Below are 16,834 nucleotides of genomic sequence, written 5' to 3'. Positions count from 1 at the left end.
CATGTCTTCTGCAGCAACATGGATGGAACTGGAGGCCATGATCTTGAGTAAAACAAGTCAAGTACAGAAAGACAAATATCACATGTTCTCACTTATATGTGGAAGATAAATAATGCATACACATGGATGCAGAGTGTGGAGTGCTAGACAATGGACACCGGAAAGGGAGAAGGGGCTGGGTGATGAGAAATTACTTAATGAGTACAATATATGTTATTTGGGTGATGGATATCCTAAAAGCTCTGACTTTACCACTACGCAATCTACGTATATAACAAAATTATACTTGGACTCCGTATATTTATACAAAAATAAATAAATAAATAAATAAATAAAGGCATACCCTCAGACTTAAATGAAATTAACCCACGAATTCTCAAAAGGGCTTTTCACCAGGGTATAATTTTTGAGCAGCCCCTTACCTTGACACTAAGTCCCCTATACCTGGCCCTACCCCCTCTTAACCCCACCCCTAGTGAGTTCCTGCCTCACCCCCCAACACCCTAAAAGCTGCCTCTCATCTCCTAAATTTTGCTCTGTTTTTCCCTTCACTTTCCATATCCTTTCCTCTCGTGTACCCACTTTCCAGGCTACCTCCTACTTATCCTTTAAGCTCTGCCTCAAAATCATTGGCTATGGAAAGCCTTAACTCGTTAATAACCCATTCAGGCTGGAGTGGGTGTTTCTCTTATTCTGTTGAAACTACAATTATTGCCCACAGGCCTGTCTCTCACACTAGACTCCAACCTCTTTGTACTCCCAGGACAGAGTGTGGTACTCAGCACAGAGTAGTTGCTTAATACATGTTTAATTGAACTGAGCTCAAACTGACCCCTCTAATGCAGAACTTTGGAGTGAACATCTCCTGCTCTACACTCCCACTGTAACTCTATCTCAGTCTACACTCAAAGTTCTCTCTTTGTGCATCTCCACCTTCCCCACTGCCCCACTTGGCAGGTAGTTAGTTCTTAGAGGGATGTAAAGAGTATGGGTTTTTCACCATTTGTATGCTACCCTTCCCTCTCCTCTATCACACAGCATCCTTGCCTGCATCTTGCACTTGGAAGATACACAATGACTGTTTATAGCCATGAATTGCCACGTGCATATGTGGCCAAGGTCCCTGCCCTGCTCGTCTTGAGAGGAATTTTGCCACCCCATTCAGGAATGTCATCACTAGGGATAACAACGCAGGTGAGCCCAGGCTCCTTGCCACTACAGCAGGCAGGCAGTCTTGTAACAACTTGTAAAGATCTTCTTGGTTTCTCGTCTTGACTTTTCAACCAGAAAGTAGTCTTTTCCAAGAACAGTCTTTTCCAAAAGAGATGCTCACATCCTTGACTAGATTTGAAAGTTAACTTAACAGCCATTATGCATAATTCCCTAATCACCCCCTTTCTTCCTCATCTAATTGTGTTTATTCCAACCAGCATACAATCAAGATGCAATGCCTTTCAGCACAGGAGACAGTCTTTTCTAACTGCCAAGGAGAAGGGAAAATGTTCTTTTCTTTTTTCTTTTTCTTTTTTTTGAAATGAAGTCTCTCTCTGTTGCCCAAGCTGGAGTGCAGTAGCGTGATCTTGGCTCACTGCAGCCTCTGCCTCCCAGGTTCAAGCGATTCTCCTGCCTCAGCCTCCTGAGTAGCTGGGATTATAGGTACGCATCACCATGCCTGGGTAATGTTTTGTATTTTTAGTAGAGACGGGGTTTTGCCATGTTGGCCAGGCTGGTCTTGAACTCCTGACCTCAGCTAATCTACCTGCCTTTGCCTCCCAAAGTGCTGGGATTACAGGTGTGAGCCACCACGCCCAGCTGGAAAATGTTCTTTTGAAGAGAATTATTAACAAACAATCTCTGTATAGTGGCCATGAACGCATCTGAGCTCATGGGAAACCACTCTGGTCTTAAGGACTTTGTAAGTACCATTCCATGTGTCAGAACCTCTTCTTCTTCTTCTTTTTTTGGAGACAGAGTCTCACTCTGTCACCCAGGCTGGAGTGTAATGGCACAGTCTTGGCTCACTGCAACCTCCACCTACTGGGTTCAAGTGATTCTCATGCCTTAGCCTCCTGAATAGCTAGGACCACAGGCACACACCACAATACCCAGCTAGTTTTATTGTGTTTTAGTAGAGACAGGGTTTTACCATGTTGCCCAGGCTGGTCTTGAATTCCTGAGATCAGGCAATCCGCTCACCTCAGCCTCCCAAAGTGCTAGTATTACAGGCATGAACCACAGTGCCCAGTCCCAGAACCTCTTCTTAAACACATCCTTATTGCTCATTCATTCAGCTCTCCACTCACTCATCACCAGCTATCGCCATATGACACACGGCATATTTGCTTGGTTTGGGTGTTGTTTTATTTCCACCCCCTGACTGTAAGCTCTATGTAAACAGGGGGTTCATTTGATTTGCTGCTGTGTTCTTCTCAGAGTATTTGCTGAATAAATGGGTAAGTGAATAACACATATAATTTGAAAACTTCCTGAGTGGGAAGAACAAAACCCATGAAAAGAAATGGAGACGTTTTGCAACCATATGTGGAATCAGAATCTCACCTCTCTGATTCCTCACCTGGTTCTCTCTGATAAGTCATCTTATTTGAAATAGGTTATTCAGCTTGTGTCATAATTTGATCCACGGGGTAAAACAAGAAGATGCTTGATGTTTTAGGTAAACTAAAGAATTATCCTCTCTTAATTCCTACCTCTCAGCCCTCAGCCCCCTACATTTAGAAAGCCATTATTCTGATGTAAATTAAGGATCATCTATATGCCATCAGGCATCTACAAGACATTTTGTTCTGTTAAAGGTTCAAGTACACACAGTGTGAAGAGCACTCAGGAGAGTCTGCCACATCATTATTTCTGTCTCCTCACACAGCACACTGAGCACTAGTTCTGAAGGGGAGCAGCTCCTAGGCTGCCTGTACCACCCAGCTCCCCATCGGCTGCAACTGGAGAGCATGCAGGCACCACTTGAAATGCCCAATTACCAGCAACTCATTTTGCGTCCCCTCTTTGGAACAAATATGATCAAAATAAATGTCTTGCTATGGCAGGAGAAGCCATCATTCTTCTGAGAGGGCTCAGCAGAAACTCATTAGCAGGTGTACGGACTGTGCTTCCACTGAGAGCTGCAATCCTGTCACCTGGCAGACCCAAAGTTGGGTGGAAGCCAGCTGAGGGTCCAGAGACCCAAAGTCTCAGCTGCCCCTAACCCTGGGCCTCTCCAGCCCCAGCCCACCTGCACCCGTCCCCTCCCAGCAGAGCGGAGGCTGGGTCCTCCCACCTCTCTGAGAGAACCTCCTCTGCCTGGTACCTTGCTGTCTGTTTCTGGAGGCACTATACTTTTTAACACTAAGGCTTCAAACTCTTGCCAACAGTTTTGAACTTCAGAATGCTTAAGAATCACCTGGGGTTCTTTTTAAATTATAGGCTCCACCTCATTCCCAAATTCTGAATCAAGAAATGTAGAACACGGCCTGATAATCTGTTTTTAAAAAGCCCTCCACTCTGCCCAGATGATTTTAATGCAGGGGTCCAAGTATCACACTTTGAAAAATATAGTTACATATTCACATGTGATGCCTCCCTCATTTTCTGTAACAAATGGAAAATAATTTTTAGTGATTTTTTTTCCATTTTGGGTTTCCTTGCATCCAATACAGGAGCACCCAGATTCATAAAGCAAGTTCGCAGGGACCTACAAAGAGAGACTCCCACACAATAATAGTGGGAGACTTTAACACCCCACTATAAATATTAGACAGATCAACAAGACAGAAAATTAACAAGGATATCCATGACTTGAACTCAGCTCTGGACCAAGCGGACCTAATAGACATCTACAGATCTCTCCACCCCAAATCAACAGAATATACATTCTTCTCAGGACCACATCGCACTTATTCTAAAATTGACCACATAATTGGAAGTAAAACACTCCTCAGCAAATGCAAAAGAACGGAAATAATAACAAGCAGTCTCTCAGACAACAGTCCAATCAAATTAGAACTCAGGATTAAGAAGCTCACTCAAAACCACACAACTACATGGGAACTGAGCAACCTGCTCCTGAATGACTACTGGGTAAATAATGAAATTAAGGCAGAAATAAAGAAGTTCTTTGACACCAATGAGAACAAAGACACAACGTACCAGAATCTCTGGGACACAGCTAAAGCAGTGTTCAGATGGAAATTTATAGCACTAAATGCCCACAGGAGAAAGCGGGAAAGATCTAAAATTGACACTGTAACATCACAATTAAAAGAACTAGAGAAGCAAGAGCAAACAAATTCAAAAGCTAGCAGAAGACAAGAAATAACTAAGATCAGAGAAGAACTGAAGGGGATTGAGACATGAAAAACCCTTCAAAAAATCAGTGAATCCAGGAGCTGATTTTCGAAAAGATTAACAAAATAGATAGATCACTAGCCAGACTAATAAAGAAAAAAAGAGAGAAGAATCAAATAGACACAATAAAAAATGATAAAGGGGATACCACCACTGATCCCACAGAAATATAAACTATTATCAGAGAATACTATAAATACCTCTACGCAAATAAACTAGAAAATCTAGAAGAAATGGATAAATTCCTGGGCACATACATCCTCCCAAGACTAAAGAAGTTGAATCCCTGAATAGACCAATAACAAGTTCTGAAATTGAGGCAGTAATTAATAGTCTACCAACAAAAAAACGTCCAGGACCAGATGGATTCACAGCCGAATTCTAACAGAGATACAAAGAGGAGCTGGTATCATTCCTTCTGAAACTATTCCAAACAATAGAAGAAGAGGGACTCCTCCCTAACTCATTTTATAAGGCCAGCATCATCCTGATACCAAACCCTGTCGGAGACACAACAAAAAAAGAAAATCTCAGGCCAATATCCCTGATGAACATTGACGCAAAAATCCTCAATAAAATACTGGCCAAATGAATCCAGCAGCACATCCAAAAGCTTATCCACCATGATCAAGTCAGCTCCATCCCTGGGATGCAAGGCTGGTTCAACATACGCAAATCAATAAACATAATCCATCACATAAACAGAATCAATGACAAAAACCACATGATATCTCAATAGAGGCAGAAAAGGCCTTTGATAAAATTCAACACCCCTTCATGCTAAAACTCTCAATAAACTAGGTATCTCAAAATAATAAAAGCTATTTATGACAAACCCACAGCCAATATCATACTGACTGGGCAAAAGCTAGAAGCATTTCCGTTGAAAATCGGCACAAGACAAAGATGCCCTCTCTCACCACTCCTATTCAACATAGTATTGGAAGTTCTGGCCAGGGCAATCAGGCAAGAGAAAGAAATAAAGGGTATTCAAATAGGAACAGAGGAAGTCAAATTGTCTTTGTTTGCAGATGACATGATTATACATTTAGAAAACCCCATCGTCTCGGCCCAAAATCTTAAGCTGATAAGCAACTCCAGCAAAGTCTCAAGATACAAAATCAATGCAATTGATTTTTTGCACAATTCTGGAATGTGCAAAAATCACAAGCATTCCTGTAAACCAATAATAGAGAGCCAAATCATGAGTGAACTCCCACTCACAATTGCTACAAAGAGAATAAAATACCTACGTATACAACTACAAGGGATGTGAAGGACCTCTTCAAGGAGAACTACAAACCACTGCAGAAGGAAATAAAAGGACACAAATAAATGGAAAAAGATTTCATGCTCATGGATTTACAAACAAGAAAGTGATGAACTGACAGGGTCTTAATTTCAGAAAGGCTCTCATTTTTGAAAGCATGATGCAGAACAACCACAGGTGTGGTTTTATACTTTTTCTTAGCTTTAGTTTAGAGTAGCCACAGAAAAGTCAGATTACAGCAGTTCCCTGATAGTTGGAGTCTGGAATGCCACCCTCCCCTTGGGGAGGCCTTTCACACACCCTCCTTGCAGCCCCTCTGCAGCTCTCCAGGACAACAGCTATAAAATCAGCATGAGGGTAAAGAGGACACCATGGATATTGCACAATTCACGGCCCAGATCATCTCTGAGAGTAATGGAGAGTTCACTGAAATAGCAACGCCTCTCCTTTGTGCCTTCAGAGGCTGGTACCTCACTCTGTCTCAATCATAGACTGCCTCCTGTGCTCTCCTGTGCTCAGGAGTGATATATTTATCAGGATAGCTCCAGATGGCAGGAGTAGGCAACTGATTCACTTGCTTCTCCACTCCCGGCAGGCCCCACAAGGGCTTCAGAACTGCAGCCAGCACATCAGTAGTGCCCATTTCTCCTGGGACTGAGGTGTTGCCTCTGATAACTCAACTGATGCTCCAGTCAGAAGAGGACTCTTCAAGGGGAGTTATGACAGCCCAAGAAGTGGGGGCATGCTCGAAGGCCCATCTGTTCCTGGGACTGATTGCACAGTGACTATCCCCCTATTCAGAGAGTGTCACAGTCAGTGATAAGAATGCTCAACTCTCCCTCCACTCTGCCTGACCACTTCAGGCACCCAGCATCAGAGGCCCCTCTAATGACACCTGTGAAGGGAACAGATATCCCAAAGACATGTACAGTTGGCTCTCAATTTTCCATGTGTATTTCACTACACTGGAAATATACAATGGATTACATTGTATTATATAATACAGTAGATAAATTAGATTATACTTGGATTATACCTGGTTGATACCACAAAAGAATGAAAGGAGAGTGAATTGTTATTTTATATGTATAATCCTGGAGTTACACGGTAGCCACAGAAAAGTCAAACAGGTGTTTGAACACGAGTGCGTCCACCCGAGCAGCTTCTCTGCAGCTCTGCAGAGCCCATCCTAGGACAACTAAGCCCATCCTTAGTTTTCCTATGGTGAACTAAGAGGCAGATGACAGTGAGCCTGGATCTCAGTCCCCATCTCCCAGCCAGCTCCCCCCACACTAGTATATTAGTCCTCCAGCAAAGATCCCAGGGTCCTCTGGAAGACAGAAACAGAGAAAGTACAAGGAGAAAAGAATGGGTTATTTCATCTGAAAGGGCATTTGTAGCAAGATTGTCCTTTTGTGGTCAGAAACATAACCATTTCTTTATTATTAGTGGTAAAGGAAAAAGCAACAACTGATGTCATAATACAAAAAAAAAGAAACTACATAAAGTCAGGAATAACCTGTAATCATGAAACATACACTGAACAACAGCCCAGGTTTTAAATCTGATTTTCCTGGTCCAACCTTGTCAAGGAATCCTCTGAAGTTTCCTGTACTCCACTTCACCTTCACTCTGGCAGGCCACGTGCATCCCAGATGGACCGTATGTGGAGTCCAAGCCTGACAGTGCTTGGATAACCCCCCACCCCCAAGCTGTCTAGCAATCATTGCCTGAGTGTGGGTCAAGCTCACCAAAAGAAAAATGTGCCATATTGGCCCTAATCCTAACCCATATTGACACTTTGGGAGGCCGAGGCGGGCGGGTCACCTGAAGTCAGGAGTTCAAGACCAGCCTGGTCAACATGGTGAAACCCCGTCTCCACCAAAAATACAAAAATTAGCTGGGTGTGATGGCACATGCGGTTAATCCCAGCTACTTGGGAGGCTGAGGAACAAGAATCGCTTGAACCCAGAAAGCGGAGGTTGCAGTGAGCCAAGATCACACCACTATACTCCAGCCCAGGCGGCAGAGCGAGACTCTGTTTCCAAAAAACAAAACAAAACAAAAGAAAAATGTGCCACATGACTACGAGGAATTGCAGTTCCTGAGACTGAGTCTCCCTTTACAATACCACGTGGTGAGAAGGCCAGTCTATACAGTCACTTAGGCAAGAAATATGCAATTCACAGGTCCAGTTTTTGTTCTGTGTTTTGGTAGGGTTCTGTGGAGCAGTTGAGAGCTGAATTTCATTATGTCCTTCTATAAATCTGGGCTCTCCTAAGCCTGATCACCTAGGTCAGGGACTTGAGCTCGGTCTGCCTCCTAGAATGGATAATGGACACCGGGGCTCAGAGCCTGTTACCTGCTGTACATCCTGCTGGAAGACGCAGAGCTGCAGCCGCTGGTGGAGCCGCACCTTGCGGTGCTGCCAGATGCTCTCCAGCCGTCGCTGGTGATGTAACACCTCATGCACCACGTCCAGCACCTGGTGCACTGCCTTGGAGTAGTTGGCTGTGGCCGTGAGGGATTCGGAGTTCCCAGGGCTCAGGGGCCGCTGCAGCACATCAAGTAGTGCTTTGCCATCCTGGCTGACCTGCAGGAAAGAGAGAAGTTTAAGTTAAGGGAAAAGGGTGATAGGCAGGGCACAGAGAGAAGCAGGAAGTGTCTGCCTGAGGGTCCCTGACTAGGCCTTCTGAGAATCTCAGGCATTCCATACCCAGACACCTAGCCAGCCAGAGCTGCCATGGGGCCCATCCTCCGGCCTGGTGGAGGGCAGAGCAGCTGGAATCCCCTGATGTGGGAGTTGCTGGAGTGCTGGCCAGTTGTCTGTGAGACTCTCTCCCCTCCTGAATTTCAGCACTGTGAGGGCAGAGATACTGCCTACTTGCTGCTCTCGCCCCAATGCCCAAAACAGTGCCTGGCACACAGTAGGCATTTGGTAAATTTTTGTTTGTTTGTTTGTTTTTGAGACAAAGTCTTACTCTTGTCCCCAGGCTGGAGTGCAATCAATGGTGCGATCTCGGCTCACTGCAACCTCTGCCTCCCGGGTTCAAGCGATTCTCCTGCCTCAGCCTCCTGAGTAGCTGGGATTACAGGTGCCTGCCACCACACCTGGCTAATTTCTGTATTTTTAGTAGAGACGGGGTTTCACCATGTTGGCCAGGCTGGTCTTGAACTCCTAACCTCAGGTGATCCGCCCACCTCAGCCTCCCAAAGTGCTTGGATTACAGGTGTGAGCCACAGTGCCCAGGCTTGGTAAACATTTTAACTGACTCACACCAGGTCAGACAGCATAACTTCATTTCAGAAATGAAGTCAATGTAAGTTCCCACCATAATCCTCTCCTCCTCTTTCTTTCCCAAATTCCTCTATTTGGCTCTAAAATTCTAGATGTGTGACAAGAGGCAAGTTATTTAACCTCCTGGGTCCTCAGTTTCCTTGTCTGTAAAGGAGGGATATTTATGTACATATTTCATAAAGTCATGGTGAGGATTAAATGAGTTAACACACATACCGTATTTAGAATAGAGCCTGACAAGTGATACTGGCTACCAATTTTATCTTCATCATCATCACCATTGATATGGTTTGTCTGTGTCCCCATTTAAATCTCATCTTGAATTGTAGTTCCCATAATCACCACGTGTTGTGGGAGGGACCTGGTGGGAGGTAACTGAATCATGCGGGTGGGTTTTTCCAGTGCTGTTCTCATGTTAGTGAATAAATCTCATGAGATCTGATAGTTTTATAAAAGGGCAGTTCCCCTGCACTCACTCTCTTGACTGCCACCATGTAAGACATGACTTTGCTCCTCCTCCTCTTTCTGCCATGATTGTGAGGCCTCCATGGCCATGTGAAACTGTGAGTGCATCAAACCTCTTTTTTTTCTTTTTTTATAAATTACCCAGTCTCAGGTATGTCTTTATTAGCGGCATGAGAACAGACTAATACAACCATCATCATCATCATCTCTCTCCCATCCTCTTTATTTCCTTGTCATTTTCTTTCGTCTTTATCCTTTTAAAATACTTTGCTCTCGCTCTATACGAGCCCTTTCTTTCTCCTGAAAAGCAGTACAATCCTCATTTTTCTAGAACATGCAGAGAAAGGCTGGGACACTTAGACAGTGGACACACCATCCACTTTCCTCGGTTCCCCAACACTCGCCCACAGTCTGAGAAAAGTGGGATGACACTCTCTGCCATTCTTCTCATTGGAGTTCTGGCACAATCACGGGCATCAATAATTCTGGAAAATGACACATACAATCAACACCTATGGCCCTCCTGTGCTTGACAAAGTACCCAACAGAACATGCATCTTTCCAATTTAAAACAGGGATGACTGGGAATTGATAGAAATGTTGAGTCCCCAAATTTGGTTACCAACTAAATCAAAGCTGGCTTGGAGCCTTCCCCAAAAGAAGGCTTTTGGAGATGAAAATGGTCTTTTATCTCACCAGCAAGGTAGGGAATGAGGTGTGTGTGCTTCCATCTCCACACCTCTGATGATGAAGCTGTTTGCCGGGTTTGCATCCTCCCCTCACCCCTCCTTTGGTCCCTGATAATAGCTTGGATGGGGGTCCAGGAATACAGAAGCAGATGTTACTCCTGCCCATGGGGCCACAGAAATGCTTTCAGGGCAGGGTGGTTAGGAGGGGTGCTGCGGTAGAGTGCAGCAGAGGCCAGGAGAGGAAATCACCACCACCCACCCAATCCTGCCATCCCCATCTCCCATAATTGACTGCCAGGGGAGTGGGGTGGGGGAAGTAGCTTATACATAATGCAGAGGTGATGCCCACCAGAGACATAAATAAGACAAATATCCTATAGTGAAACCCAGGAGAGCTCTCTTTCTGGAATTCTGAGCAAATGCTGTCTTTTGGCACCATGCTATGTCCAGGGTAGGGCAGTTAGAGATGGAGTCCCAAGTCCTAGAAATCCACCCCACATGAGCTCTAATCCTCTGCCTCAGTCTCTACATCTGTAGGAAGCATGGACAGCTCACTGGCCTCTGAAGTGGGCTTGGAGGGAAGGTTTAAGCCTCACAACGCTAGGGCCTGATAATTAATTGAGAGAAATATTGTGTCTATATGTATAATTACACCCACACCTCACATATGTGGAAGTATAATATTAATCTCATTTGTACTCTCTATATTTGTATTTTGCAAGGAGTAAATTTAAAGATTCTTGACCCATGGGCAGAGGCACAGTTCTAAGACAGAAAGCTTTGAGCCATATGGATCAGAGCTGATGAGATCAGATTTGGCTTGTAAGTCCTTCGTTGTACCTTCTACAATGACAGAATACATTACCATTTTTTAGTATTCATTACTGTCAGACACTGGGCCAAGTGCATTACATACATTACCTTCATTTTATTTTTTTAAATTTTTGTTGGGTACAATGATTGATTTATTTATTTAAATAGTTTTGGGGAACAGGTGGTGTTTGGTTAGCTCCCACTTAAAAGTGAGAATATGCCATACTTGGTTTTCCATTCCTGAGTTACTTCACTTAGAATAATGGTCTCCAACTCCATCCAGATTGCTGTGAATGCCATTATTTTGTTCCTTTTTATGGCTGAGTAGTATTCCATGGTGTATTTATACCACATTTTCTTTATCCATTCATTGGTTGATAGACATTTAGGCTGGTTCCATATTTTTGCAATTGTGAATTGTCATGCATTACCTTTATAACCTCAACACTATCCTATGAGACAGGTGTTACTACTTTGATTTCACAGATGAAACCAGGCTCAAAGTGGTTAAGTAACTTGCCTGAGGTCACACAGCTAGTAAATAGGAGAGCCAGGATTCAAACTCAGTTTGACTGTGGCAAAAACCCTTACTCTTACCTAGGAGCCATTGGTTCTTAGACTTCAATGTGCATCAAACTCACCTAGGGTAATAGTTATTAAAATGTAGGTTCCAGGTCTCACTTCTTGATATTCTGATTCAGTCTGGGGTGGGACCCAGGAATCTGTATCAGGTGAGTCCGATGCAGGTGGTCCAGGAACCCATTTTAATACTCCTCTAACTAATCCTGCCCAGAGGAAACACATGGGTTGGATGTGAATTCACTTCTTCTCCTCATCCAGCTTCCTTAATCAGCCCATCTCTCTCCATCCCTCAGTCCCCTTCCTCAGAATTCATGCCAGTTAGCAAACATACTAACTTATGTGTATCTACACAGATATACCTATGTAGCTGTTTCCTTTTACTTTGAGAGGACTGTCAAGAGGTTTTTTCCCTTTCTTAACTTTACAGTAACCCCCTGCCTTTGATTTTTCAATGGAAGAGTCTTTGTCCTTCACATTCATGGAAGCTTCTTACTCCTGCAAACACTTATCTCCACCCTGTGTGTTTTCCTCTGGATCGTCTAGTGAGAAAATTAATCTTTTTTTAATGAGCTGCTTCATAAAAAAGGTGGCAGGGCTAGTGTGTACATCTCCACTCACCAACCAGAAAGCAACCTCCAGAGAAGCACAGCTTCATTTTCTTATATTCCTCCCCCAAGAGGAGAAAGTCCAATCTTCACACACAGGATGAGGCAGGTGTATGGGGTGTGTGTGTGTGTGTGTGTGTGTGTGTGTGTGTGTGTGTGAGAGAGAGAGAGAGAGAATGAATGCGAGTGCACCAAAGTGGTGCCTAATAATGGCCCCAATTTTTTCTGCTTCCTGGCTGGAGACACCATAGTTCATAGATCAAGGTTCCTAAAGATGTCACCAAAAAAAAAGAAAAACAGCCTCTTCTTCTTAGTCCCACCCAGGCTATTTCACAGGGCACAGGCCAGTGCCCTCATCACCCACCCACATGCAGACATGCCCAAGAACCATGGTTGCCCTGCTCCATTCTCACCTCTGTGTAGGCTTGGGTCACCTGCTCATACAAGGTCTGGTGGTGGTGGATTGCCAGCTCTAGGTCTTGCATCTCGGATGGCAGACCACCTTCACTGCACATCTTGCACCAGGCATCCACTCCCGACAGGAACTGGAAGGAGATGCAGGGTGGATCAGTGGGGGAGCACTGGGGGTGAGGAGTTGGGTGGATTATGGAGAGAGGGTCAGATACCTTGGGAAGAAACATCAGGACTTCTGAAAGCCTTCAGAGACCACTGTAGAGGGTAGAGTTTTTTTAATTCTATGAACACTAACTCCTAGTAAGAAATCAGACCCAGGCACCCATTTAGGAAGTATAGTCTCCACAAAATTGACTATTATGAAACTGTAGGTGGCAGGTGAATCATCAGATGTTCAATAGGTTATAGATACACACTAACTGTAATGTCCAGGTATGGAAACAGCTCACCACATTCCACGGATACATTAGAGCTTCTTGCCCCACGCACACTCACAGGCACACGTGAGGGGCTGTGTGTAATGTAAGGAGATGTTCCACATCTGTGCTTTACAGTATGTACATCCAGTTGTGAAGACAAGCAAAAAACACCTCACACAGACCACCAGGAACCCCAGGAAACTTGCAGAGACCATCCCATATGGGACGGAAACTGCCCTCAACAGGTCTCCCACTGTTGGGTCAGTCCCCTGAAGGGTGGAAACGAGAGAGGCAGTCTAGGGGGACAGGCTGTGCTACACCTACTGCATCCCAGGTTGTGATATATAGACATAGATCTTGACAGACATCAAATTATTTAAAAATTAAAATTAACAACTGTGGAAGACTATGGGTCTTCACGCACAAAGGGTAAGCTAACTGAAATCACTCAGATTTATTGGGTGGAAAAATGCACCTTTAAAATGCAAATAATTCACCCAACAGTCTGGAATCGTTCTGTCTGTGATTCCTCTCGTCTGGATGCACAGCTCCATTTAAATTAATTGCCTAAAGACCTCTTTATCCCATTGCCAAGAACAGCCCATATGAGGACAATAAAGAGCTGCCTAAATAAATACATGGAAAAAATAACTTTGAGTCATGTTTTTCCCCAGTTAAAAAGAAGCATGGTTTATGAATGTCCCTGAAGGACTAGTAATACCTGCAGAAATTGCATTAAAAAATAGATACAAATAAAATCGCTTCTGATCCAAACCAGTCCAGTCAGGAAACATGAAATAAACGTGCACTTCTCCAGTTTTCTCAGTTCTGGTACAGCAACCGTTTGCGTTCTAGTTTTGTTGTCACTGTCAGCTTTCAGTCCCTGGCCTGTTGATTGTTGTGGTTGACTTCATTCTGTACATTTTGTAACACACTAGACCATTTCTAAGCAATTCTGGAAGAGTGCCAGGTGCCATCGAGTATCAGATCATATAATATGTACATGCTAAGATCTCAGAAGCTTCTTTGCTCCACCAATAACTACTTTACAAATGACCCTGGGAGCAACTTGACATTCTTGTGTCAATCATGGGGGGAACACTCCTTCAAGGCTCATGGGATTTCTCTGCAATATTCTAACAGGTGGCCTGTAGCATATCCCACAAAACGATCACCTCAAGGAGATAATGCCAGAGAGACAAAGAGAGAAGCAGTTGGGTCTTCCTTACCAATCTGGGCAAACCTTGAATAAAGTATGTAAGTGATAAGGTTGAAGACAGAACAGGAGATTGGACAGCAATATTCTCATGGCCCTAAGAATGAACCAGTCACTATCAGTCACTACCACCAACAACCTTAACAACGGCGACAAAAAGATATGGCCAAATCCCTCTCAAAGTATAGGGTTGTGCTTGACACAAGTATTATTTCAGTCTTTAGGAAGTTCTTAGGTGGAAATAGACACAAATGGAGGAAATAAAAAGATACCAGGATAGTATGTGGTGCAAATACCCATAGTAGTAATGTCCACTGTTTAGTAAGCACACGAGGCACCTTACATATTCCATCTCTCGTGTTGTATCTTTAGCACAGCCCTGTGCCATTTATGATTAGCTCCACATTACGGAAGAGGAAACAAGCTCAGAATGGTGATGTGACTTGCCTAAGGGTGAATGAATGGTGGAGCTGGGATCAGAATCCATGTGTCTTGCCTCAAAGTCTAGACTCTTAATTATGCCATGTTGCTTTCCACACTAGAGAGGGTAACAGAGGGAGAAATTTAAGGTGTGACCAGGTGTCTGACTCTCCTTGGCCTATATTACCCAAATGTGATGCAAAGAAAGAATTGTAGAAGTTAAGACCACAGGCCTAGTGTAAAACACACCTGAGGTGATAGCCTATCTACTCATAGATTGTGTGATTTTAGCAGTGGTGTGTTAGAAAATGTTTAACAACCAGCATATATATGTGTGTGTGTATATGACTATATATTACATATACACAGGTAAGTTCATTTACAAATCCTACTGATATAAAGAATGTATAAAACACAATTTACAGAGAACAACAGCATATACAATACTCTGTATTGTATATTTAATGTAGCCAGTTGATTCTCACAGGATGCTTTTGACCTATGGTTGCAACTGACAAACATGTATAGTTCTGACACACATGCTGGTTGATATTTTCACTATGTTAAGGAGTGAGACAAAGGTGAAAAGCACCTGAATACTACGCCAGAACATCACTTGTTCATCAAGGATGTCAGCAACTTCTTTGCTGAACCAAATAACAGTTTTTGAATATTGGAAGAATATTTCCTTGATTTTTGTGTGTTATTTACAACGTAACAGCTATACACAGGACACATTTTTAAGTTTAGTCTGCATTTTCAAACACTTTCTCCCTCATTTTCTTAAGACTCTAGGCAACAATAAAGCAATAAATCAATCCCTGGTTTGTAGCATCTGATAATTTCTATAATATGAAACTCCTACCATGGTGTATTTTAAGCTACCAATGTGACATCACCAACATGGAGTTGGGAAGAGGTGATCCATACATAGCACACAATTGTACGGTATTTCCACCACAGAAAAAATAAATACATAAAAATGATTTCAAGAACATAGGTAATAACAATATGTTGTAAAATAATCAGGAAGTGATGAATTTTGAGTATTTATTAACTTTGCTTTTAACATAACACATTTAATTATAAACCTACATAATTAAGCAATAGCTAGAATGTGACAACCAGTTCTCAAAATTCCTAAAAATTTAACAACTGTCTCTCCATGAGCTGGTTCAAGACAGGCTCCAACACATCATGGGATCTTAGGCAGGCCAATCACTTAATCTCTCTGAGCTTCAGTGTTCCTCTTTGTAAAATGGGTTAGCAATGTCACTGGCCAATGCCTGGCCACTTAGTAAGTACGAGTAATTATTATCTTGACCCATTATATTATTGTTATATTCCCATTATCCATAGCAAATACTTCATGTAAAATTAGTTTCCCCTGCTCTCAGCACCTCAATGATCACTTTACATTCACCCCTTTGATCTGTGTTCAAAGAATGCACACTAAGCAGACAGTCCACACATGCACACACGCACATGCAACCACTACCAAGCAAAATGTAAAAAGGCTCTGGGTCCCCTCTTGTTTGTATGACAAGCAAAGTCACCAAGAGTTACCAATGTTTCTTTGTGCACACAGGGGCCATCAAAGTGGTAGAACATAGGTTATTGTTGCAATGACTCGGCAGGGTCTTCAGTGTTTCAAAAAGACAGGTGGAGCTCCCTATAGAGAGTGTGTGTGCTCCCATCCAGCCCTCCCCTGCCCATGCCCAACCCTTCCTACCAACAGCAGCTGCTGCAGGTTTCTGCACCTTACCTGCTCAGCCTTCTGGTGGAACACAGCAGACATGGCGAGGATGGTGCTGCGTTCATCCAGGGCAGCAGCGAAGCTCTTCCACTCCTGGTCCAGCTGGGTGGAGATCTGCTTGATTTGTTGTGAGGCATAATGACCGGCCTCAGAGAGGCGGGAAGCCACGGACATGATGCGGTTGATGTTGACATAGGCATTCTGGAAAGAAAAGGAGAGTGCTCAGTGGGGCAGGCTCAAAAGACATCCACTGAGCACTTTCGTGGGGTACATATTTGGGGAAGGGAGCTGCCCAAAACAAAAGTCTGAGAGACGCTGGTACAGTCCATACTAGTGTATTTGTTTTTGGCCCAAGGGAAATCTTTTTCTACAATTCAATTTCAGTAGATAGCAGGGAACTTTCATTGTGGGGAACCAGCATAGATTTTGTGCCAACTATTAATGCACTTTAATGCAGTCACTTTACATGGACTACTTTATGTAATCTTCACAACCATCTTATGAAGTCATTCCCAGGGATGGCACATA

General features: G+C 43.5%; 1 protein-coding gene across 32 annotated transcripts in view; it reads right to left on the bottom strand.

Moving 5' to 3' along the window:
- Window positions 1-16,834, bottom strand: part of KALRN (kalirin RhoGEF kinase) — a 692,957-nt gene that overhangs the window by 383,839 nt on the left and 292,284 nt on the right. For all 32 annotated transcript variants that reach the window (XM_006713810.4, XM_017007429.2, XM_011513279.3 and 29 more), the window contains exons 7-9: window positions 16,316-16,507; window positions 12,495-12,626; window positions 7,992-8,222 (exon numbers count right to left, since the gene is read on the bottom strand). In XM_006713810.4, coding sequence (XP_006713873.1) covers window positions 7,992-8,222; window positions 12,495-12,626; window positions 16,316-16,507 — 555 coding nt within the window. The remainder of the gene's footprint in view (window positions 1-7,991; window positions 8,223-12,494; window positions 12,627-16,315; window positions 16,508-16,834) is intronic.

Source organism: Homo sapiens, chromosome 3, assembly GCF_000001405.40.
Source record: "Homo sapiens chromosome 3, GRCh38.p14 Primary Assembly".
NCBI lineage: Eukaryota > Metazoa > Chordata > Mammalia > Primates > Hominidae > Homo > Homo sapiens.
Note: the sequence above shows the minus strand (reverse complement) of the source record. Positions and strands in the feature narration are given on the sequence as shown.